Source organism: Homo sapiens, chromosome 14 (genome assembly GCF_000001405.40).
Source record: "Homo sapiens chromosome 14, GRCh38.p14 Primary Assembly".
Classification (NCBI taxonomy): domain Eukaryota; kingdom Metazoa; phylum Chordata; class Mammalia; order Primates; family Hominidae; genus Homo; species Homo sapiens.
This window is the reverse complement of record NC_000014.9, coordinates 34,751,319-34,777,584: the sequence shown is the minus strand read 5'-3', so window position 1 is coordinate 34,777,584 and position 26,266 is coordinate 34,751,319. Positions and strand designations below refer to the sequence as shown.

General features: G+C 38.8%; 1 protein-coding gene across 8 annotated transcripts in view; it reads left to right on the top strand.

Moving 5' to 3' along the window:
* The window catches only part of BAZ1A (bromodomain adjacent to zinc finger domain 1A), a 122,630-nt gene extending 97,776 nt beyond the window's left edge, over positions 1 to 24,854 (top strand). For 7 of the 8 annotated variants that reach the window (NM_182648.2, NM_013448.3, XM_047430887.1 and 4 more), the window contains 10 exons: positions 1,070 to 1,666; positions 3,095 to 3,258; positions 3,859 to 4,013; positions 5,926 to 6,074; positions 12,317 to 12,564; positions 12,652 to 12,878; positions 15,362 to 15,828; positions 18,739 to 18,881; positions 22,671 to 22,758; positions 23,881 to 24,854. In NM_182648.2, coding sequence (NP_872589.1) covers positions 1,070 to 1,666; positions 3,095 to 3,258; positions 3,859 to 4,013; positions 5,926 to 6,074; positions 12,317 to 12,564; positions 12,652 to 12,878; positions 15,362 to 15,828; positions 18,739 to 18,881; positions 22,671 to 22,758; positions 23,881 to 24,077 — 2,435 coding nt within the window. In that variant the 3' untranslated portion in view covers positions 24,078 to 24,854. Of the gene's footprint in view, positions 1 to 1,069; positions 1,667 to 3,094; positions 3,259 to 3,858; positions 4,014 to 5,925; positions 6,075 to 12,316; positions 12,565 to 12,651; positions 12,879 to 15,361; positions 15,829 to 18,738; positions 18,882 to 22,670; positions 22,759 to 23,880 lie in introns of those variants that run through there. The other variant, XR_007063978.1, reaches the window with a different exon arrangement.
* The last annotated feature ends 1,412 nt before the right edge of the window (positions 24,855 to 26,266 follow it).

Here is a 26,266-nt window from a genome sequence, read left to right as displayed (position 1 = left end):
GCAACCTCCCCCTCCTGGGTTCAAGCGATTCTCATGCCTCAGCCTCCTGAGTAGCTGGGATTACAGGTGCTTGCTACCATGCCCAGCTAATTTTTGTATTTTTAGTGGAGACGGGATTTCACCATGTTGGCCAGGCTGGTTAAGAACTCCTGATGTCAGGTGATCCGCCCACCTCGGCCTCCCAAAGTTCTGGGATTACAGGCATGGGCCACCGCGCCAGCCGGATTTTTACAATTTAAATGGCTGGAAAAAAGAAGAATGATACTTTGTGATAAGTGAAAATTATATGAAATTCAGATTTCACTGTCCATAAATAGTTACATTGAACCACAGCCATGCTCATTGTCTGCATGTTGCCTGTGATTGCTTTTGGGCCACAAGAGTGGAATTGAATAGCTGTGAAGACCATAAGATCCACAAAGACAAATATTTATAAGCTAGTCTTCTCCAGAAGTAGTTTGCTGTTATTCCTCCCTTAGAGGAAGGACTGGGATGACTACTGGAGGAGAACTAACATACTCTACTAGCACTCTCCAGTATGGAAATGACAGATTTTGCATGCCCCTTTAGATTTAAGTATATTGATTTCTTATTAACATAGTGTATTAGTCTGCTTGGGCTGCCATAACGAAATACCACAGACTGGGGTGGGTTAAACAACAGAAACTTCAGAAATTTTTTTTCTCACAGTTCTGGAGTCTGGAAGTCCAAGATCAAGCAGGGTTGGTGTCTGAAAGGCTTTTTCTTGGCTTGCAGACAGTGCCTTCTTGCTATATCCTTACATGGCTTTTTCTCTGTGCATGTCAGATAACAAGATCTCTGGTGTCTAAGAACACCAATCATGTTGGATTAGGTCCCCACCTTCATGACCTTAATTACCTCCTTAAAGGTTCTGTCTCCAAATACAGTCACATTGGAGGTTAGGGCTTCAACATATGAACTTGGGGTTGTGGAGAGGGGATACAGTTTAGTTCATAACACCTAATAACTTGGGGTAACTTTGTATCTCATATTTTTCTAATGGAAACTTGAAATATGATGATGATGAAACATTTTATTTTAATTACAGGGAAAAGAGGACAAAATGGATTTAAAGAATTTACAAGGCAAGAACAGATCAACTGTGTAACAAGAGAGCCTCTTACTGCTGATGAGGAAGAAGCATTAAAACAGGAACACCAACGAAAAGAGAAAGAGCTCTTAGAAAAAATCCAAAGTGCCATAGCCTGTACCAATATCTTTCCCTTGGGTCGCGACCGCATGTATAGACGATACTGGATTTTCCCTTCTATTCCTGGACTCTTTATTGAAGAGGATTATTCTGGTCTTACTGAAGACATGCTGTTGCCTAGACCTTCATCATTTCAGAATAATGTACAGTCTCAAGATCCTCAGGTATCCACTAAAACTGGAGAGCCTTTGATGTCTGAATCTACCTCCAACATTGACCAAGGTCCACGTGACCATTCTGTGCAGCTGCCAAAACCAGTGCATAAGCCAAATCGGTGGTGCTTTTACAGTTCTTGTGAACAGCTAGACCAGCTTATTGAAGCTCTTAATTCTAGAGGACATAGAGAAAGTGCCTTAAAAGAAACTTTGTTACAAGAGAAAAGCAGAATATGTGCACAGCTAGCCCGTTTTTCTGAAGAGAAATTTCATTTTTCAGGTAAATTTTCAATGAAAATTGTTTTTACTTTTTTTCCCTCCCCCTAATCTCTGGTCATTCAGGATTAAGCGTTTTTGCAACCTATTAGAAATACATTTACAACACCTTATCTTTGATTTAGGCTGTCCTTTTAGTTTGCAAGTTAGAGTTTGGGAATGTATTTCTGTATAGAAATAAGATTCTCTAAATTCCACTGGATTGTATTTGAATTATGAGGAACACATCTATGGTATAACAAAATACATATTCTCCCTGATCTCCTTATTCCTTGGTCAGTAGACTCTGAAACCCAAGAATAGACTCTAAGGCTGCCATCAGTTTTGGACAGATTATGGTGAGTGAGGTTACTCATTAAGGGTTTTGGCTGAGAGTCTAGGGAGAAGTTCCACTAATGGTCACTTCTTTGGAGCTTGGCTGCAAGGGCAGGTCGGATAGCAGCATTTCCTGCTTGATGGTCCGTCCACTGATGACAAATAAGAAAAAGCAGTAAGGCATTTTTAGATGTGAGTTTTTATATTAATAAATTAGATTCTCTAGGTAAAGAATTGCTTACTTGTCTCCTGTGGGAGAGAAAATAGAGCTAAAAACGTTTTAAATTAAATCAAAATTTTAAAAAGAATTGCTTAAATTTAGGGGCATGTTACCATGACCACTTCAGTTTTTTTCAGGATTAAAAACTATAGATCACAATTATTGGGGTTTTTTTTTGTTTTTTGTTTGAGACAGAATTTCGCTTTTGTTGCCCAGGCTGTTGGGCTCACTGCAATCTCTGCCTCCTGGGTTCTAGTGCATCTCCTGTCTCAGCCTCCCAAGTAGCTGGGATAACAGGCGCCCGCCACCACACCCAGCTAATTTTTTGTATTTTTAGTAGAGATAGGGTTTCACCATGTTGGCCAGGCTGGTCTCAAACTCCTGACCTCAGGTAATCCACCCGCCTTGGTCTCCCAAAGTGCTGGGATTACAGGCATGAGCCACTACCCCCCGCCAATGTTGAGCATCTTTTCATGTGCTCATTGGCCATTTGTCTGTCTTCCTTAAATATCTATTCAGATCCTTTGCCCATTTTTAAATTGGGTTGTCTTTTTATTGTGCTGTAAGAGTTCTTTATATATTCTGGATACAAGGGCTTTATTTATTTATTTAGAGACAGGGTCTCGCTCTGTTGCCCAGGCTGGATTGCAGTGGCATAACCATAGTTCACTGCAGATTCAAACTCCTGGGCTCAAGCAATCCTGCCTCAGCCTCCTGAGTAGCTGTACAAGGGCTTTATAAGATAAATGATATTCATTCATTCATTCATTCATTTGTGGCACTTGAGGATTTACAAAGCACTTTTATATCTGTTATTTCAAGATCATAACAGCCACATGGAGTAATTGTAGTTTTTAATAAGAAAATCATAATAAAAGTATTTGATTACTATTTCAGACAAACCTCAGCCTGATAGCAAACCAACATATAGTCGGGGAAGATCTTCCAATGCATATGATCCATCTCAGATGTGTGCAGAAAAGCAACTTGAACTAAGGCTGAGAGATTTTCTTTTAGATATTGAAGATAGAATCTACCAAGGAACATTAGGAGCCATCAAGGTTTGTACTTGTTCCCATTTTTAGTTTGTCTAATCTACTTGGTCCAGAATTTTGGTCATATTTGTTAATTATATGGCATAGACAAGGCATATGTGTTTTGAATAAACACCAGAGAATGATAAATTTTTTATGAAAACTTAAGTTTATTCCCCTGCATAAAAATATTTTTTCCGATATTTTCATCAGATGTTGAAATGCGTAAGGATATTTTCTTCTTCCTTGACTAGCCCCTGCCTTCTCTGCTGAGTCTGGTTGGTTTGTTGGTTTCTTTGTTACCTTTTTAAAATCTGTAATTCATGGCTGATAATGTATTCTGTTCATGCCTTTGCCATCATCTGTCACTTTTTTGCTGCTATCAAGTGACCAATCTTAGAACTGTTTATGATTTATTTATACAGAAAGTAAGGCATTATGGTTTTCATCTATGAAGAATATGAATTCCAGTTTGGCCACTTAGTAACCTTATTTTTAGATACCTTTTTGATTCATAATCATTTCTAAAATATCCATGAATTGATTTTATATGCATATTGAACTTCATACCTCTCAGAAACAATATATTCCATTTTTCATGGTTAGTAAGTTTGAATTTTGTTACAGGTTACAGATCGACATATCTGGAGATCAGCATTAGAAAGTGGACGGTATGAGCTGTTAAGTGAGGAAAACAAGGAAAATGGGATAATTAAAACTGTGAATGAAGACGTAGAAGAGATGGAAATTGATGAACAAACAAAGGTCATAGTAAAAGACAGGTACAAAAAGATTTTTCTAAAGTAACCATTACTTTTCCTTGCCATTTTAAGGTTTTTTTTTTTTTTTTGGTTTTTAAGTAAATATGTTGCTTTTTCTTATTTTAAAAACTTGTCGTGAGGACCTTGATATTTGTAACCATTGGACTGATCATTTTCTAAACCTCAGGATCTCTGTTACTCCACTTTGTACTAATGCAACCAAAAAACAATTCATTCGAATAATGATAATTTCTTAAAGTTTTTTTTTTTAATCTTTGAACTTAAGGTTTTATTAATTTTGGAAAGTAATTATACTATTATTCTTCTTTTCTATAGGAAAACTTAGTAAATTAGTAAATTCTGGTAGACTTGAATGTTATTTGAGCCAGGCAAGATGGCGTGGGCCTGTAGTCTCAGCTGCTCGGGAGGCGGAAGCAGGAGGATCACTTGAGGCCGGGAGTTGGAGACCAGCCTGGGCAACATAGTGAGACCCTGTCTCTCTTTTTTTTAATTATCTGGGCATGGTGGCATGCACTTGGTTTTTGTTGTTGTTGTTGTTATTTTTTGAGACGGAGTCTTGCTCTGTTGCCAGGCTGGAGTAAAGTAGCACAATCTCAGCTCACTGCAACCTCCTACTCCCTGGTTCAAGCAATTCTTCTGCCTCAGCCTCCTGAGTAGCTGGGATTACAGGCACGTGCCAACACGCCCAGCTAATTTTTGTATTTTTAGTAGAGACAGGGTTTCGCCACGTTGGCCAGGACGATCTTGATCTCCTGACCTTGTGATGCCCTGCCTCGGCCTCCCAAAGTGCTGGGATTACAGGCCTGAGCCACCACGCCTGGCCGGCATGCACTTGTAGTCCCATCTATTCCATCGTTGTACCCCAGGACTTCAAAGCTGCAGTGAGCTAATAATGATTGTGCCACTGCACTCCAGCCTGAGCAACAATGAGACCTCATCTCTAAATAAGTATAAGTATTAAATATTATTACTAATCAGAATCTATATCCATATATCTATAGATACTTTTATTTTTTCAAGATTATTTTGGATATTATATGCCTTTAAGCAGTTTGTCATCTAGAAGGGAACAGTGGAGAAACATGAGGCTAGCATTATATTTACTAGAATGGGGTACTGATAGAAGGTTATACCCAGTGCAGATGAAGTACATGGGCGGGCTACTTGTCTTAGTAGAACATGGGAGATAGTAAAGGAAGTGCAAGAGGAAGTGACTGCAAAGCTGAGCCCTAAAGTTGAGAAAAATAGGACACTGGGAAGAAAAACCATGTACAAAGGCTTTGAGTGAATGAGTTTGCACTTTAAAATGATCATTTTAGGCCAGGCGCAGTGGCTGACACCTGTAATCCCAGCACTTTGGGAGGCTGAGACAGGTGAATCATGAGGTCAGGCATTCGAGACCAGCCTGGCCAACATAGTGAAACCCCGTCTCTACTAAAAATACAAAAAATTAGCCGGGCACGGTGGTGGGCACCTGTAGTCCCAGCTACTCAGGAGACTGAGGCAGGAGAATGGTGTGAACCCGGGAGGCAGAGCTTGCAGTAAGCTGAGATCGCACCACTGCACTCCAGCCTGGGCAACAGTGCGAGACTGTCTCAAAAAAGCAAAAAAAAAGGGCAAAACAAGAGAAATAGAGATAAGCTGCCCGAAATACTTAGGCTTTAAGGCCCATCACAATGTCACCTCTCTGAAACCTTTCCCATAAGCCTTCCCTCTTCTTTCTCTCCTTCAAATATTTACCCTTAGTCCTTCTAAATGAATCTCCCTTCCCTACTAGTTTACTGCAACTCCTTGAGATTGAGGAAATGATTTTTTACAAAGGTATAAATAAGCATTTGAACCAATGAATGGACTCAAGTTTTACCTAATAGTGTTTTTAAGTACCATAAACTCTTAATTGTTTTAATTGTAGACTTTTGGGGATAAAAACAGAAACTCCAAGTACTGTATCAACAAATGCAAGTACACCACAATCAGTGAGCAGTGTGGTTCATTATCTGGCAATGGCACTCTTTCAAATAGAGCAGGGCATTGAGCGGCGTTTTCTGAAAGCTCCACTTGGTAAGTATCTGTTTTTATTTCAAAATATTAGTTGTGTTATAAGTAATTTTGAGTTGGCCTTTAACTAATAGAACTTTATTGGCTGACATAATGAAATTGATAATCTTAAAAACTTGAGATGTTTTCATTTTTAAATGAGTTCTTTTAAGGTGAGATTTATTTTTAGAATAATACAGTCTTTTGTGAAGAGTTTCATCAAAAGAAAGATTACCAGCTAGGCACAGTGGCTCATGCCTGTAATCCCAACACTTTGGGAGGCTGAGGTGGAATCGCTTGAGCCCAAGAGTTTGAGACCAGCCTGGGCAACATATAGCAAGAACCCCATCTCTACAAAATTAAAAAAGAAAAAAATTAGCTAGGCATCATGGCATGCAACTGTAGTCCCAGAGGCTGGGGTGGGAGGATCACATGAGCCCAGGAATTTGAGGTTACAATGAGCTATGACCACACCATTGCATGGTGGCCTAGGTGACAGAGTAAGACCCTGTCTCTTTAAAAGAAAAAAAAGATCACCAAAACCTATAACTAGTCAGACCTTGAATAATCAAAGATTATGTGTAACTTTTTTTTTTTTCTGTTATTTGAAAGAGAACCCCAAATAAGTGACTTAAAAGTTTACCATTTGGGGCATAGTTTGATGATATGAGTCACCCACATGCTATATCAGAAATACCAAGTGCTAAATCAGAAATACCAAGTGTTTAAAGGAACACGGGTGAGGAAATGCTCTATAATTTATAGTGAGGAATAATATACTATCTGTATCACTTTTTGACAAATTATGAAATTAGTGGGTTTTTAGGGACTAATCTAGGAACCTCCTAACCATTATGTTTTTGGGAAAATATCTGTTTCAGAATTCTAAATCAATGTTTATATCATAACTGTCTCTAATTCCCTGTTGTTTTTTTGAGATGTTTAATTTATAACTCATCATGTTGAGATATTTATATTCTTGTAATGGGATCATGGAAGAAATAACTTTCTTAAACCATATCTTTTTGGTCTCCTATTGAAAGAACTACTTGAATTGACTAAAATCCTTAAATAATTGTTTTAGCTGGGGGTGGTGGCTCACGCCTGTAATCCCAGCACTTTGGGAGGCCGAGGCGGTTGGATCACCTGAGGTCAGGAGTTGGAGACCAGCCTGACCAACATGGTGAAACCCCGTCTCTACTAAAAATACAAAATTAGGTGGGTGTGGTGGTGCATGCCTGTAATCCCAGCTACTTGGGAGGCTGAGGCAGGAGAATCGCTTGAACCTGGGAGGCAGAGGATGCAGTGAGCTGAGACTGCACCATTGCACTCCAGCCTGGGCAACAAGAGAGAAACTCTGTCTTAAAAAAAACAAAAATAATAATTTTTTGATATCTCATTATTAGAACAAAGTTTTCATAGTGCAATCAGAGCAGTTTTGAAATGTGAATATACTGGTAAACTTTTTAAATTGAAGAGTTGTGGCCAGTATCTCATTAAGTCTATTCACACTGTTGTAAATTGATAATCGTACCATAAGCTTAATAACCCACTGGCCACATTGAAAGTAGCAATTGTAAGAAATAAAATATGTATAATCACAGCTCCCAAAGATAGCAGAGTTGGTATTTGCTATGTCACTTTTATTTCCCAGTCTTCAGTATTTCTTAGGATTTTCTTTGTGTAAATCCAGTTATGTGTACAAGGGATCACTCTGTATTTATTACAACCACATATTAATACACAATTAGCTAAATTAAAATTTCAATTTAAAATTATTTGCAAATCATGCAGGTTTTATAAATGTAAGATACTGTTACTACTAACACTGTGATTCCAAAAGAGTAAAAGGATAAGACACAATATTGCTTATTTTCCCACTTCTGAAATTTTCATTAAAGTTTTTTTAAGTTGAAGGGGGGAAAATCAAATTAATTGTTTAGTATGTCTGTATTTTCATCTGCACAACTTATTAAATATTTAGACAAAGAAAAAGGTTAACATTGAGAGTTGTTACAACTTGTCTAGTAGGTTATATGAGAGACACTGTTCCTTATGCTGGTTTGTATACAGTGGTTTTCAAACATTAATTTCATTCCAAAAGATAGAAAGTTATAATTCAAGATCTTAAGAAATAAGTGAAATAAGAAAAGTTTGTTACTTTGGTAGTGTCAAAGTTAAATATTGGTTGAAGTCAAATGTTGGTCATTTATAATATGGGTGTCTACTGTTGCTGCTCCATAAAAAGTTATTAGAATAACTTAAGCCTTTGAAAGGTCTGTTTTGCACAGGACAGCAGGAGATGGAGATAGGCTATCTGAAATAAAGCAATCAAGAATATCAGTGATTGGGAAGAGAAAAGCAGGTTTTACTTTATGAATATTTGAGATGGAATATATATCGAAATTCTCCATTCACCTGATAATATTTCAGGATAGCAAATTAATCATAGTAGGCATTTTCCCAATTTAGCTTCAGAAGTCATTTCAGTTTCTTGAGGAAGCATGTACGAAATAAAAATTCTACTTACGTTCTACCTCTCTAATATGTCCCTTTTATTCTAGAGATTAATCATACTGCTAAAAGTAGACTTTTTTTCATTTGGGGAAGATAAAATCATGTTTTGTTTTAGGTAAGATACATGAGGATGTTTTTTAAGATTGATAATTCTGTTATTTTTAAAGTCATACTTATGCTTAAACCCTTAAGCTATGAAAAAAAAATCTTCAACTAACTATATCAGTTTGAAATTAGGTAAAACAGAAATTAATAAGGATCAAAAGGGAGATAGAAAAAAAAAAGGACAAGAAAAAGAGAGAGGAAGATCTATCTAGTGTGAGAGATGGTAAATTTTTAACTTTTTAAAGAAATTTATGTTTTGTCTTTTTAAAGAATGATTTTACTTTCTCTATGGCTGAATAGTGATTTGCATATTTAGCTTTTGAAGGAAAACCTTGGATTTGATTTTTTTGGAAGGGAATGGACTTGGGGGTAAGCTTAAAATAGTATCTTCCTAGCATTTCCCTTTCTATATTTCACACCTCAGCTAATCACTCTTCTAAATTGGCATATAGAAAGTTGACACCGGTGAATCTTTGTATACTTAGCTATTAGTGAAAAGAATGAATGGCTGTGGAACTTATGTTTACCTGTTTCACATAAAGTATTTATTCACAGCATTTTTTTTCTTTTACTAGCTTGGAGAGACATAGGACAAGAGTTTTTATGTTTTGTCCCCTAGAGAAGCCTGTCCTGGTCACATGGATTACTGTATAGTGGCCATTGAACAGTATGAAGTCTCCCACTATAATATTTGATTATGTGACTGCCAGTATTTTATATTAGTAAGATCCTTTTAATAATTTATGGAGGAATTTATCTGTGCTAGCATAATGGAAGATAAAAGATAAACAAGACATTTTCTGCCCTTTACGGTTGTGTAATCTGGGGGGAAAGCAAGGTTTAAGATAAGGAAACAACAGAAAAATGGAATCAATTGTATATACTGTTTTCTATCCTTATATCAGTACTATGCAAAAATAGAAAAATAGGCACATTCATTATGGACTAGAATAAGAATTGGGCCTTGAGCTACTGCTGGTTTAATTTTCTTAAACCACCCCATTAATCAAATCCCATAGCATTTCACCAACCTTTGCATTAAAAAATCATTCAAACTAATTTCCAAGATTCTAAAAGTTCTTCATAATTTGTCTTTCTTCCCATTCCTTCACATTGACCTCTGCAACCTTATTCCTTGCCAGCCATTACCAATGAGAATATTCTCTGATTTACCCAGAAGGATCATGATCTTTGAACTAGCTATTCGTGCTTCCTCATTCCTTAGAGGCCCTGCTCAGGCCAGAACTTTTCATGAAGGCTTATATTTTAAAAACCAAGATAAGTAAAACGCTCACAATGACAGGGGAGAAATAAATCAAATGCATTTAAGTGGACTCTACTCTCCAATTATTATACATATATATATATTTTGAGACAGAGTCTTGCTTTTGTCACCCAAGCTGGAGTGCAGTGGCACAATCTGCAACCTTTGCCTCCTGGGTTCAAGCAATTCTCCTGCCTCGGCCTCCAAAGTAGCTGGGACTACAGGCACCTGCAACCACGGCTGGCTAGTTTTTGTATTTTTAGTAGAGATGGGGTTTCACCGTGTTGGCCAAGCTGGTCTCAAACTCGTGGCCTCATGTGATCCATTCCCCTCAGCCTCTCAAAGTGCTGGGATTACAGGTGTGAGCTACCACATCTGGCTCCAATTAGACGTTAGATACAGTTTTGGATAGTTGACAGGGAGAGTGAAGCAAATAGAAGAAAAGACTGTATTAACATAAAATCTAGCTGGTTTATATACTGTCTACAAAAGACACACCTAAAACAAAACAACATAGATAAAGATGGAAAAATATTACTGATGCTGCATTCTAAGTAATAGCTTTGTATTTTCCCAACTTCATTAACATGTCAGCTTTGAAGAGCCATTTGACCCATCCACTGTGTTTTTGCCTCTGTTTTTAATCTCAATCATTTTGAAAAGTTCTAACTGGATCTTTTTCAAACTGCCTGGTTATTCATATTTTAAACTTCTTAAAACATATTAAAGTTATTTTATATTCTGTTTCTAATTCTAGTATCTGAAGTCTTTATGAGTTTGATTCTGCTGGCTTTCACTTAATGTTTTGTTTCCACATGTGCCTTGTGGTTTTGATTAACTCTCATTCCTCAGATTTCATCTGTGAAAATCTTTTCAGAGAGAATTTGCAAAGATTTGTACTTGTTTCTGCCATTCACTTGAGGTCACTAGCAATCCTAGACTACTTTAAAATCTTAGCCTATGTTTTTTTGGGTTTTAAACCTGTTCAAGGCTTTGCTTGATCCTCAGGGAGATTATTTTCCCTTTCTAACCAACGCCGAAGTCTAGGTGAATCAACTTCCTTGCTCTCCATTTTTTCATGTAGTGCCTGTTTCCACTCTGACACTTGAAGGGGTAGCTTTCTGGGGTCCTGGCTTTTTAGAGAGGGACTAACCACCCTGATGGGCCCTAGGTTTCATGTCCTGTCAATCTCACCCTACCCGACAGGCAAACAGGAGCTCAAGGTCCATTGGTACTTGACAGGTCTCTGCTTTATGGTTTTAACTCATTGTGTATTTCTTCACTTTTCCAGCTGTACTAAACATTCCTTGAAGATAGGGACCATAGAATAGACTAGTTTCTTATCTTCTAAAGTGCTGCACATAGGGGGAGCTATACAGTGCACTAATAACGATAGTAATATTAGCATTTACTGTGACAGATACTTCAATGCCTTATGCGTATTATCTCATTTAATGTTTCCAGCAACCCTTAGAGGCAGATACTCTCCATGTATTACAGTTGAGGAAACTGAGAGACAGATGGGTTAACTTGCCCAAGTTCATATGGGGGAGCCAGTACTCACCTCAGAGCAGACTGTCTCCAAAGCCTGCATTTTCTTAACCGTTATGCTACTGCCCAAGAGGTTTTATTTGAGAATAATAGTAGGAAATAATGGTATTATAGAACCAGATTATGTATGGAGTCTTATATACCTTGCAGAATTAAGTATAATGTTTTTGGAAAATTAAGGTGGTAACAATATTAAAGATTGAAGTGGAAATCACACACCAGTATAAAATGACTATTGATTGATAGCATTTAATCAGATGATTAAATTTTTTAGCCCAGAAGATAAAGAATGGTGATGTTAAGTGACAGAAGGTTTCAAATGTTTCTATATAAATATTAGTGCTGAAAAATCCATTTTGGTAGTATTAACATTGTTTTTACTTACCACAATTTTAAAACTATTTTCTTAGAAGATAATTTAAGTTGGAGAACAGTCCATCTTTTATATGAGATGAGGAAGTAACATACTTCATGCAAATGAATAGTATAGACTTGGAATCATATGTAACCAGTTTTTAAAATTAGCTCAAGATTTGATACAAAGACTAGATTGAGAACACATTGTCTGAATTATTTTTCTCTTTAGCTATTAAAATCCCTTAGCATTTGATTTATGAATTTAAGTAATTCCTTATGTCATAAACGAGATGCGGCTCAGCAAATATTTTCCATGAGATTTTTGTTTTTAATATCAGCATGGTCTTTTTGTTAAGTATCAGAAGAAAAGAAATGTAAAATCTAACCTATATTTAAACTACCAACAAACTATTTCTAGGAAGATTACTAGGTTTGCCTAAAAAATTGTAATCACTTTCCCTTTTCATTTAAGATGCCAGTGACAGTGGGCGTTCTTATAAAACAGTTCTGGACCGTTGGAGAGAGTCTCTCCTTTCTTCTGCTAGTCTATCCCAAGTTTTTCTTCACCTATCCACCTTGGATCGTAGCGTGATATGGTCTAAATCTATACTGAATGCGCGTTGCAAGATATGTCGAAAGAAAGGCGATGCTGAAAACATGGTTCTTTGTGATGGCTGTGATAGGGGTCATCATACCTACTGTGTTCGACCAAAGCTCAAGGTATTTTTTTCTTCTTATCAGATTAGAAATGAGACATTAAGATTTTGAGCAATAGATGATTAATGATCATTTATGTGATTTTTTCAGACTGTGCCTGAAGGAGACTGGTTTTGTCCAGAATGTCGACCAAAGCAACGTTCTAGAAGACTCTCCTCTAGACAGAGACCATCCTTGGAAAGTGATGAAGATGTGGAAGACAGTATGGGAGGTGAGGATGATGAAGTTGATGGCGATGAAGAAGAAGGTCAAAGTGAGGAGGAAGAGTATGAGGTAGAACAAGATGAAGATGACTCTCAAGAAGAGGAAGAAGTCAGGTAAGTCCTAACATGCAATAAAATGAGTCAGTAAGTCTTAGTTAGACAATTTCTCCACTATTCAAATACAAATGGAATAGTTAGGGTCTGTAACTTAGTTTAAAACTAATATATAGGCTGGACACGGTAGCTTATGCCTATAATCCCAGCACTTTGGGAGGCTGAGGCAGGCAGATCACCTGAGGTCAGGAGTTCGAGATCAGCCTGGCCAACATGGTGAAACCCCGTCTCTACTAAAAATTGAAAAATTAGCCAAGGTGTTGGTGGACATCTGTAATCCCAGCTACTCGGGAGGCTGAGGTAGGAGAGCTGCTTGAACCCGGGAGCGGAGGTTGCAGTGAGGTAACGGATCACGCCATTGCACTCCAGTCTGGGTGACAAGAGCGAGACTCCATCTCAAAAAAAAAAAAAAAAAAAGAAAAGAAAAAAGAAACTAACGTATAGTGGCCTGAAGTTACCCTTGCTTTTTATATATTATAAACATTCAAAAATATTCCCAAGGGAGTATTGATAATTTGGGGAATCTGAGAGAGAGTGATAAATGCACTGTATTTTTATACTTCTGCCACATTAGCACCTGGAAACAGCTTCTATACTACCATATAACTAAGTATTCTGCAACTTAGCATGCTGTGTCATTCAGGCCTAGCGAATGAGTGTGGAGCCTGGATATTCCTTCTGTGGCAGCACTGGGGCAATCTCCCCTTACTTGAACCTCCGGTTGAGGGCCGAAATAAAGGGATATTTAGAATTTTATATCCACAAGGTAGATATACAGGCTTACCTCAAAGATACTGCCATTTCAATTCCAGACCACAGCAATAAAGCAAGTTACAAATTTTTTTGGTTTCCCAGGGCATATAAAAATTATGTTTACATTACACTGTAGTCTCCTAAGTGTGCATGCAGTAGCACTATGTCTAAAAAAAAAGTGCATTTCTATATCTTAATTTAAAAATAATGTATTGCTAAAATATGCTAACAATCATCTGACAGAGAGATAAAAAATGAGCTCATGCTGTTGGAAAAATTATGCCAATAAACTTGCTTGATGCAGAATTGCCACAAACCTTCAGTTTGTTTAAAAAAAAATTATAATTGTAGCATGCAGTGAAGCACAAAGCACTATAAAATGAGGTGCCTATGTCTAACCGGTAGCTATAAGCTAGACAGATCTACTGGGGGTTTTCTGTCAGCAGGCCTGACCATAGCCAGTCATATCAGGGAAGTCATTGTGCTCCTTGTTCTTATCATCCCCCTCCCCCCGGCTTTTTTTTTTTTTTTTAAACATTTGAACCCCATTCTTGTGGAAGCAGGAAAATGAGTATGAAGCAAGGCAACCTAGAACTGCAAAAGTGCAAAAGGACCACAGTTGGAGAAGTTGAGATAGAGCCACCCCATCTGTTTTAAACAAGGTTTTAAGAAATACCAGCTAGAAGAGCCATCTTCCCTGTAGCTTGTGAGGGCAGTATTATGTTAGGCATAAAGATGATAAAGAATGTGGAAAGTTCTTGCAAGTACATGGGATAAACTGGAAGTCCAGGTATATGGGGAGAGGAATAATGAGTTAATGGAGGTGTTGCATTCTTTTAATTAAGGACAGTTAAAAGATTAAATATAGTTTTATAGTCAGAATCAGAAGACAACAGAGAGGTTCTTGGCGTGGTATTCAGGAACCACGGGTTCAAGGCCCACTTCATTGGCAGCCACTGGCTAAAACTGTAGGTTATCTCAGTATCAATGATAATGAAAAGTGGTAGTCTCCTGTAGCAAAAGGAGACAAAAGAATTTCATTTTAAGATTACTTCATTACTCTTAAGTTTTCCAACATGATTGACTAAGTCTATTTGTTGGTTCTCCTGAGCATTTTATTACAATTTATCAGAATTTAGGACTTAATTTTCATAATGATGTCCTGAAGTTACCAAGAAGATATGGACTGGGCACGGTGGCTTACGCCTGTAATCCCAGCACTTTGGGAGGCCGAGGCATGCAGATCGCCTGAGTCCAGGAGTTTGAGACCAGCCTGGGCAACATAGCAAAACCCCATCTCTACAAAAAACTACAAAAATTAGCCAGGCATGGTGGTACACACCTAGCTACTCAGGAGTCTGAGATGGGAGGAGCACCTGATCACAGGGAGGTCAGGCTGCAGTGAGCCGTGATCGTACTACAGCACTCCAGCCTGGGTGACAGTGATACTCTGTCTCAAAAAAAAAAAATAAAGAAAAGAAAAGAAAACATAAAATATTCTCTTTGCAGATAATTCTCTTTGCATTTCAAAGAAATACATGAAAGCACATTTTAGATTCCCTTGAGAACTTAAAACTTACTGACTCTTTAAGGAATTGAGTCTAGGATAAGTCTCAGTTATATAGAAAATTTGTATAAACTCATTGGCTAAATACAACAAGGAGAATAGAGCTAATCATATGTTCATCATTGCTCTGTACAATAATTGTGTTTTCTAACAATATTTATAGCCTACCCAAACGAGGAAGACCACAAGTTAGATTGCCAGTTAAAACAAGAGGGAAACTTAGCTCTTCTTTCTCAAGTCGTGGCCAACAACAAGAACCTGGAAGATACCCTTCAAGGAGTCAGCAGAGCACACCCAAAACAACTGTTTCTTCTAAAACTGGTAGAAGCCTAAGAAAGATAAACTCTGCTCCTCCTACAGAAACAAAATCTTTAAGAATTGCCAGTCGTTCTACTCGCCACAGTCATGGCCCACTGCAAGCAGATGTATTTGTGGAATTGCTTAGTCCTCGTAGAAAACGCAGAGGCAGGAAAAGTGCTAATAATACACCAGAAAATAGTCCCAACTTCCCTAACTTCAGAGTCATTGCCACAAAGTCAAGTGAACAGTCAAGATCTGTAAATATTGCTTCAAAACTTTCTCTCCAAGAGAGTGAATCCAAAAGAAGATGCAGAAAAAGACAATCTCCAGGTATGAAGAAATCTAAACTCTTCCTTCCCTAGGAAAATTGAATAATTTGGAAATATCGAATGTTGAGATACTTTGGATCATTTTTTAAAGTCTGTCACTAAGATACACAAAGTTATTAGGGAACAATCTGACCTGAAGCATAATAGTCATTGAAGGGGCAACTATTTAATGAATAAATTATATTACTAATATTTCTACTAGTGAAGCAGGGTAATAAACTTACAAATGACGTTCTGTTTTTAATGGAGATATTTGGCCAATATTTGAACAGTGTCAGGATACTACATTATAACACATTTCACTCTCTCCCACCTTTTCCTCCCTCAAAACGCAAATACTCAGCATCACCTAGACAAGCTACATCAGATTATTTGGTAAGGTTCCCATCTCAAATACTGAATTTGGGGGAAAGGGAGAGTTGGAAGCAGTAATATTTTTAGGAAGCGATGACCAGCTGTCTTTTTATTTTTTATTTGATTGACTGACAGAGTCTAGCTCTGTCGCCAGGCTGGAGTGCAGTGGTGCAATCTTGGCTCACTGCAACCTCTGCCTCCTGGGTTCAAGCGATTCTCCTGCCTCAGCCTCTCGAGTAGCAGGATTACAGGTATGCACCATCACACCGGGCTAATTTTTGTATTAGTAGAGACGGCTGGTTTCACCATGTTGGCCAGGCTGGTCTTGAACTCCTGACCTCAGGTGATCCACCCACCTCGGCATCCCAAAGTACTGGGATTATAGGCGTGAGCCACCGCGCCTGGCCTCAGTTGTCTTTTTAGTTCTCATTTTTGTTTATAGTAATCATTATTCATAGACTAATTTCTTTATTCATAAAGAAATTCATAATCTCTTCCTTTCCCTTGTTTTAATGTAAGTGGTAATAAAATTTTGATTTTTTAATTTTATTGTTATTATTAATTATACCAGTCACTCAGGCTGCTGTGCAGTGGCGCAATCTGAGCTCACTGCAACCTCTGCTTCCCGGGCTCAAGCAATCCTCCAGCCCCAGCCTCACAAGCAGCTGCGACTACAGGAATGCACCACCAAGCTGACTAACTTTTGTATTCTTTGTAGAGATGGGGTCTTGCCAAGTTGCCCAGGCTGGTCTTGCACTCCTGAGCTCAGTTATCTGCCTGCCTTGCCTTGGCCTCCCAAATGTTGGGATTACAGGTGTGCGCCACCACACCTGGCCTGGCCCTATTTTTTTGTTGTTGTTTTTTAAATGAAGCTAAACATAAAAAATGCCACTGTTTCTCAAAAAAAAAAAAAAAGCCACTGTTCTTCAGAGAATTTTAGATACATTATATTGCATTATTCGGATACGCAGCAGGATTAAGGAATTCATTGGTGAAAGAATGGCACGTAATCTGTTTATGCAGTCACCAGATTGTCAAGTTTTTTAGGGGAAGTATCCTAATTTTGTACCAGTCAGGATCTAATTTAGCTTTTCCTATCCACTTATCTGTTTTGCTTTTCCCCAATTCTCCAAGCTGTTTGGAGAAATAATACACTTGAAACATTTTTACTCAAAAAACTAGGAAGAAAAACTTTTTGTTTTCATTGATTTGTGAAATTGCTAAGCCTGGTACTAAGGACAAACAAAAGGGGAAATGTGTGGACCTACACTGCAAGGAGAGAATTTATACATCTGAATACATATATGGACTATACTACCCTTTCTACCAATGCATATACTTTAGATTTCATTATACTATACCTTTCTTAGGTCTGTGAGGAAGCATTTTGCTTTTCGAACATTATCTAGATATTAAAATTAAGATCTGTGGCCAAGTGCAGTGGCTCATACCTGTAATCCCAGCACTTTGGGAGGCCCAGGTGGGTGGATCACTTGAGGTGAGGAGTTGGAGACCAGCCTGGCCAACACAGTGAAACCCCATCTCTACTAAAAATACAAAAATTAGCTGGGTGTGGTAGCAGGCACCTTTAATCCCAGCTACTCGGGAGGCTGAGGCAGGAGAATTGCTTGAACCCAGGAGGCAGAAGTTGCAGTGAGCCAAGATCATGCCACTGCACTCCAGCCTAGGTGACAAAGCAAGACTCTGTCTCAAAAATTAAATAAAATAAATAAAATTAAGATCTGTAAGAATAATCTTTTACTTTACCAGTGAGAATTGCTTTTCCATTATGCAAGGTAATTTATATGTAAGCCTAGTTTCTAGATCTGAGGAGGTTACTTTCTGAAGGATATGCTTTAGGAAATACTAGAGAATTGCTTAGTTTCAGTTAACTGTAGCTGAAAAGGCCGGGCGTGGTGGCTCACGCCTGTAATCCCAGCATTTTGGGAGGCCGAGGCGGGCAGATCACGAGGTCAGGAGATCACGAGGTCAGGAGATCGAGACCATCCTAGCTAACACGGTGAAACCCTGTCTCTACTAAAAATACAAAACAAAATTAGCCGGGCGCCGTGGCGGGTGCCTATAGTTCCAGCTACTCAGGAGGCTGAGACAGGAGAATGGCATGAACCCAGGAGGCGGAGCTTTCAGTGAGCCAAGATCGCGACACTGCACTCCAGCCTGGGTGACAGAGCGAGACTCCATCTCAAAAAAAAAAAAAAAAAAAAAAAAAAACTGTAGCTGTAAAGTATTTTTAATAAAATTGAGTAAAAATAATCCAAAAACTTTTGTGTTCTAGATTTTTCTTTTGCATTACACTCTGAAAATCTGTTCCCAATGAATGTTTAATGCAATTGGACATTTTTAAGATCAAAAAGGAAATAATGACTATTTGGTCCTATTTTGGTTGAATTTTCATATCTCCCAGAAAATAGTTAACATCTCAGTGTACGGAGTGTCTATTTTCTGTTGGAATTTGGTATTTATATATCCAGTTTGGCGTGTAGTGAACCAATATTTTGCTTTGTTATCACCTAAAATGTTGTAATTATTTACTCAGAGCCATCGCCTGTGACACTGGGTCGAAGGAGTTCTGGCCGACAGGGAGGAGTTCATGAATTGTCTGCTTTTGAACAACTTGTTGTAGAATTGGTACGACATGATGACAGCTGGCCTTTTTTGAAACTTGTTTCTAAAATCCAGGTAATTACTAGACTTGATAAAATGTATTCCTGTATATTATCTGATTTAGTCCACGTGATAACTTTGAAGTAGTCAAAACACCTGTTACTCACTGTCTAGTTTTTTTTGTTGTTGTTGTTTTTTCCTGAGACAGTCTCACTCTGTCGCCCAGGCTGGAGTGCAGTGGCGCGATCTCGGCTCACTGCAAGCTCTGCCTCCCAGGTTCAAGCGATTCTCCTGCCTCAGCTTCCTGAGTAACTGGGATTACAGGCACACACCACCACACCCGGCTAATATTTCTATTTTTAGTAGAGACGGGGTTTCAACATGTTGGTCAGGCTGGTCTCAATCTCCTGACCTTGTGATCTGCCCACCTCGGCCCCCCAAAGTGGTGGGATTCCAGGTGTGAGCCACCACACCTGGCCATGTCTTCTTCTTAGTATTTTTAGAGACAGGGTTTCTGTCGCCCAGGCCGGAGTGCAGTGGCATATTTTGGTTCGCTGCAGCCTCAACCTCCTGAGCTCAAGTGATCCTCCAACTTAGCCACTTGAGTAGTTGGTACTACAGGCACATGCCACCAGGTCCAGCTGTTTTTTTTTTTTTTTTTTTGAGACAGGGTCTCACTTCATTGCCAGGCTGGTCTTGAACATCAGTTCCTATGTTCAAAACAATAGGGTTGGCCGGGCGCTGTGGCTCACACCTGTAATCCCAGCACTTTGGGAGGCCGAGGCGGGCGGATCACGAGGTCAGGAGATCAAGACCATCCTGGCTAACACAGTGAAACCCCATCTCTACTAAAAATACAAAAAAATTAGCCAGGCGTGGTGGCAGGCGCCTGTAGTCCCCGCTACTTGGGAGGCTGAGGCAGGAGAATTACTTGAACCCGGGAGGCAGAAGTTGCAGTGAGCCGAGATCGCGCCATTGCAGTCCACACTCCAGGCTGGGCAACAAGAGTGAAACTCCATCTCAAAAAAAAAAAAAAGAAAACAATAGAGTTAGACAGCTCAGTCCCTTCTAATTTTGTGACTGATTCTTTTTTTGTTGTTTTTGTTTTTGTTTTGAGACAAAGTCTTGCTTTTGTCCCCCGGCTGGAGTGCAGTGGCGTGATCTTGGCTCACCGCAACCTCCACCTCCCGGGTTCAAGCGATTCTCCTGCCTCAGCCTCCCAAGTAGCTGGGATTACAGGGGCCTGCCACCACACCTGGCTAATTTTTGTATTTTTATTAGCGACAGGGTTTCACCATGTTGGCCAGGCTGTTCTCGAACTCCTGACCTCAGGTGATCTGCCCACCTTGGCCTCCCAAAATGCTGAGATTACAGGCACGGGCCACTGCACCCAGCCTTTTTTTTTTTTTTTTTGAGATGGAGTCTTGCTCTTGTCATCCAGGCTGGAGTGCAATGGCGCGATCTCAGCTCACTACAACCTCCACCTTCTGGGTTCAAGTGATTCTCCTGCCTCAGCCTCCCGAGTAGCTGGAATTACAGGCACCTGCCACCATACCTGGCTAATTTTTGTATTTTTAGTAGAGACAGGGTTTCACCATGTTGGCCAGGCTGGTCTCAAACTCCTAACCTCAGGTGATCCATGTGTCTTGGCCTCCCAAAGTGCTGGGATTACAGGCATGAGCCACCGTGCCCAGCCATGACTGATTCTTTATAAATAATGATGGTGTGTTACAATGACCTCAATGTTTTTGTTCTATGTAATGAATATGAATAGAGTTAATTGAGTACCATTAATCATATTTTTCTTATGTAAAGCAGTGGTTCTCAAACTACCGCATGCCTCAGAATCATTTGGAGGACTTGCTAAAACATTGATTCCTGAGCCCCAGAGTGTTTGATTCATTAGGTCTGGAATGATGTCTAACTCTTGGATTTCTGACAAGTCCCCAGATGATGCTGATGGTCCTGGCCCAGAGAGCACATTTTGAGAAACACTGATATAAAAGTTATTCTGGGCCAGGCGTAGTGGCTCACACCTGTAATCCCAACACTTTGGGAGGCCAAGGCGGTGAATCACCTAAGATCAGGAGTTCAAGACCAGCCTTGCCAACATGACAAAACCCCATCTCTACTAAAAATGCAAAAATTAGCTGAGCATGGTGGTGCATGCCTGTAATCCCAGCTACTCGGAAGGCTGAGGCAGGAGAATCGCTTGAACCCAGGAGGCGGAGGTTGTAGTGAGTCGAGATCACGCCATTGCACCCCAGCCTAGGCAAGACTCTGTCTCAAAAAAAAAAAAAAAAAAAAAAAAATAGGTATTCTGGCTGGGTGCAGTGTGTCACGCCTGTAATCTCAACAGTTTAGGGCCAGGCACAGTGGCTCATGCCTGTGATCCCAGCACTTTGGGAGGCCGAGGTGGGCAGATCACGAGGTCAAGAGATTGAGACCATCCTGGCTAACACGGTGAAACCCTGTCTCTACTAAAAAAACACAAAAAATTAGCCGGGCATGGTGGCACACACCTGTAGTCCCAGCTACTCTGGAGGCTGAGGCAGGACAATCGCTTGAACCCGGGAGGCAGAGCTTGCAGTGAGCCGAGATCGTGCCACTGCACTCCAGCCTGGGTGACAGAGTGAGACTCTGTCTCAAAAAAAAAAAAAAAAGAAAAAAACCAGTTTGGGAGGCTGAGGCAGGTGGATCGCTTGAGCCCAGGAGTTTGAGACCAGCCTAACCAACATGGTCAAACCTTGACTCTACAAAAAATACAAAAAAAAAAAGAAAAAGAAAAAAAATAGCCGAGTGTGGTGGTGCATGACTTTAGTCTCAGTTACTTGGGAATCTGAGGCAGGAGGATCACTTGAGCTTGGAAGGTGGAGGTTGCAATGAGCCGAGATAACACCACTACGCTCCAGCCTGGGTGACAGAGCAAGACCCTGTCTCCAAAGGAAAAGGAAAAAAAAAAAAAAAGATAGGTATTAGGTAACAGTGATGGCCTAATCAAACTGAAGGATATGAGATGGTGTTGTAGTTAGGTTATATATATATATGGCAGAATGTGATCTCTTATATAGCAAAGATAGAACAAAGTTATGGTACTGGAATAGAAGTTATCATGGTATTACAGAAGTAGAGTAGACAGAGATTGATTTGAGCATTTCAGAGGGACAAAATAATAATTAGAACGCTTTTTAAGGAGAACTATTTGGAACTGGTCATTGAAGAAGGATAGAATTTCAACACTAAGAAATGCAGTAAGGATGTTTCAGGGAGAAAGGAATATGCTATACGGTAGACACCCAGAAATGAGAATATGGTGAATGGTGGATGGTTTGAATGAGGTTGGGTTAGAAAGTCTCAGACACACAACTGTATTATAAAGGGTCTCACTCACCAGTGTGAGGTAAAGGTTTCTGAATGAAGAAGTGACATCATCAGAATTCTACTTTGAGACTTCTAGAGCAAGAATGAGAAGGATTAATTAATATTGAATAGCATAAAAAAATTAAATCTTAGTTTGACTTGACTCATTTTGCCTGGGTAATTTTTGTCCTAAAGTACACTTTGTTACATACATTTTATTCATTATTACAAATGCAATAATGCTCATTGAAGAATTTTTTTTCTTCTGGTCACAACTGACAATGGTGTGTATATATAGAGAGAGCGCGATATCTATATAGATATATATCTGTATAGACACATCTATATAGACATATATATCTATATAGAGAGGAGAGAGTCATGAGCAAGACCATATTGCAATTGCATATTGAGTTGCTTTTTAGTGCAAAACTTTTAGTTATTTGAACACTTCTTTCCAGTTAAGTTTTCTGTGTGGACAGAGATATTTGAATTATTTTACAGGTCCCAGACTACTATGACATCATCAAAAAGCCCATTGCCTTAAATATAATTCGTGAAAAAGTGAATAAGTGTGAATATAAATTAGCATGTAAGTAATTTATGTTTTTCTTTGATATTTATTTTTCTAAGGCATTTTGTTATAGCATCTTTGATATTTATTTTTGTTTAAAGAGGTAGAGGCTGTTTTTCTGTTACTAAAAGGATGTGTGTTGATGTAGTTGTGTAGATGGCATTCCATGAGGTTCCACAAGTACTTATTAGTGTATGTGGGGATGAAAGATGGATTAGGATCAAGTAAGTTAAAGATACTTTATAGATCTGATCTTACTCAAAGAAGTTCTTTATAATCACATAATGTATATGATCACATAATTGGATAGTTTCAATAAAACAATTTTAAAGTATTTACAGTTAAACAGTTTTAAGCCTCAGTTCTGCTACCTTGTTTCAGAATCTTTTTTCTTTCTTCTTTTTCTTTTTTCTTTTTTTTTTTTTTTGAGATACGTCTCACTCTGTTGCCCAGGCTGGAGTGCAGAGGCAAAATTTTGGTTCACTGCAGCCTTGACCTCACAGGCTCAAGCTGTCCTCCCACCTCAGCCTCCCAAGTAGCTGGGACCACAGGTGCAGGCCACCATGCCTAATTTTTTTTTTTTTTTTTTTGAGATGATGGAGTCTTGCTCTGTGGCCCAGGCTGGAGTGCAGTGGTGCGATCTCAGCTCACTGCAACCTCTGCCTCCTGGGTTCAAGTGATTCTCCTGCCTCAGCCTCCCGAGTAGCTGGGATTACAGATGCCCGCCACCACGCCCCACTATTTTTGTATTTTTAGTAGAGATGGGGTTTCACCATGTTGCCCAGGCTGGTGTCGAACTCCTGACCTCAGGTGATCCGTCTGCCTCGGCCTCCCAAAGTGCTGGGATTACAGGCTTGAACCACCGCAAGTGGCTAATTTTTGTATTTTTTGTAGAGATGGGGTTTTGCTATATTGCCCAGGATGGTCTCGAACTCCTGAGCTCAAGTGATCCTCCTGCCTCAGCCTCCCAAGTGCTGAGATTACAGATGTGAGCCACCATGCCTAGCCAGAGTCTTCTCTTTCTAAAGAAAAAAGTGGGCTTCCATTTTCTTAATAAAATTTCCAGATATGATACAAGAATTATATTTATTATAATTTATGTACTTTCATTCTAATCTTTTTGTCTCTTTCCCTTTCTAGCTGAGTTTATTGATGACATTGAGTTAATGTTTTCGAACTGCTTTGAATACAACCCTCGTAACACAAGTGAAGCAAAAGCTGGAACTAGGCTTCAAGCATTTTTTCATATTCAGGCTCAAAAGCTTGGACTCCACGTCACACCCAGTAATGTGGACCAAGTTAGCACACCACCGGCTGCGAAAAAGTCACGAATCTGACTTTGTCCTTCTAAAGGATATATTTGAAGAAAAACAAATTGTTCATGAAAATGGAACATTAAATCATGCTGTATAAAGCAATAACAATTGATTGACCACATGAAAGTGTGGCCTGCACTATATTCTCAATTTTAATATTAAGCACTCAGGAGAATGTAGGAAAGATATCCTTTGCTACAGTTTTGTTCAGTATCTAATAAGTTTGATAGATGTATTGGATACAGTACTGGTTTACAGAGGTTTTTGTACATTTTTGAGATCATTCATGTGTCCAGAGATCTTGGAAAATATTTTTTCACCCACGATTTATTTTGTTATTGATGATTTTTTTTTAAAGTGGTGGTATTAAGGGAGAGTTATCTACATGGATGAGTCTTCCGCTATAGCACAGTTTAGAAAAGGTGTTTATGTCTTAATTAATTGTTTGAGTACATTCTTTCAACACTACACATGAATGAATCCAATCTTATAACCTTGAAGTGCTGTACCAGTGCTGGCTGCAGGTATTAAGTCCAAGTTTATTAACTAGATATTTATTTAGTATTGAGAGTAATTTGTGAATTTGTTTTGTATTTATAAAATTTATACCTGAAAAATGTTCCTTAATGTTTTAAACCTTTTACTGTGTTTTTATTCCTCTAACTTCCTTAATGATCAATCAAAAAAAGTAACACCCTCCCTTTTTCCTGACAGTTCTTTCAGCTTTACAGAACTGTATTATAAGTTTCTATGTATAACTTTTTAACTGTACAAATAAAATAACATTTTTTCAAATAATCTGGAATTCTCTAATTTTTACAATCAGCTTTGGACTTTTGCTCGTGATAAAAACAGACCATAGGAACCAACTTTTTGTTGTACCTGAGTCTCTATAGCAGTAATTTGCTGCTTTTTCTGCCGAAACCCTTGAGGAGTAAGATCCATTTCATTTCATCAAAAACAGTAACATGATGTGCATGGATTCTCATTAAAAAGAGGAGAGAAAGTTTGGAATACACTCACCTAGTTGAGAATCTGGAAATAATTAATTAAAGTTTTTATGCATATATACACATAAAAGGAGCTATTTCTTAGGTATGGAAGACATACAGGGGCTTCAGTTTTGTAGCATACTTTTCCTTTTTAGGATGCAAAAGGCAGGTGTCTTCCCTATTCTCTAGGACTTTTTGGTAGGCGGGAGAGAACCTTCCCTCTATTTCCTTAAAATCCTGAGGGTACTGCATTATTATTTAATTAATTTACTTGGAAGTTTACCTGTCTTTCTCATATAGTTTGAGATTATCAATTTTCTAGATTCTTCACATGAATATAACTGTAACTTTTGGTAAATGTGTATAAATTTTATATGCCATAACTAAATTTCTTGGAAATTAATAACATTTAAATACCAAGACAATTCTGAAAATACAATTACATTTTAATAGTAATTTATCTGATTACTTAATATTCTTTTTTTAAATAAAATTTTAATTTTATAGAATAGAGACAAGGTCTTGCTGTGTTGCTTAGACTAGTCTGAACTCCTGAGCTCAAAGTGATCTGCCTGCCCTTGAACTCCCAAAGTGCTGGGATTACAGGTGTGAGTCACTGTGCCCGGCCAATATTCTTCATTTTTTAATGTTAATAACAAGCAATTTTTATGTTAGCTTTTCTTCTACACAGTTAACACAAAGGAACCATTTCCAACCAACTAATTATGGAATTATTCAATCTGCAAGTCAGTCATAAAACTTGCAATTTATTTACCATTTCTCAGACTGAGTTAAAATAAGACCTTACCTTTTTTTTTTTTTTTTTTTTTTTTTTTAAGATGTGGTCTTGGCTCTGTCACCCAGGCTAGAGTGCAGTGGCATGATCTCAGCTCACTGCAACCTCCACCTCCTGGTTTCAAGTGATTCTCCTGCCTCAGCCTCCCGAGTAGCTGGGATTACAGGCATGCGCCACCACACCTGGCTAATTTTTGTATTTTTAATAGAGACAGGGTTTCACCATGTTGGCCAGGCTGGTCTCGAACTACTGACCTCAGGTGATCTGCCCACCTCAGCCTCCCATAGTGCCGGGATTACAGGCGTGCGCCACCGCACCAGCCAAGACATTACCTTGCAATCTGCTCAGCCAAATTGTCTTATATGCCAAATTCATCATTTATTCCCATACACATCTATAGTAATTAAAAATTTTAGGCCAGG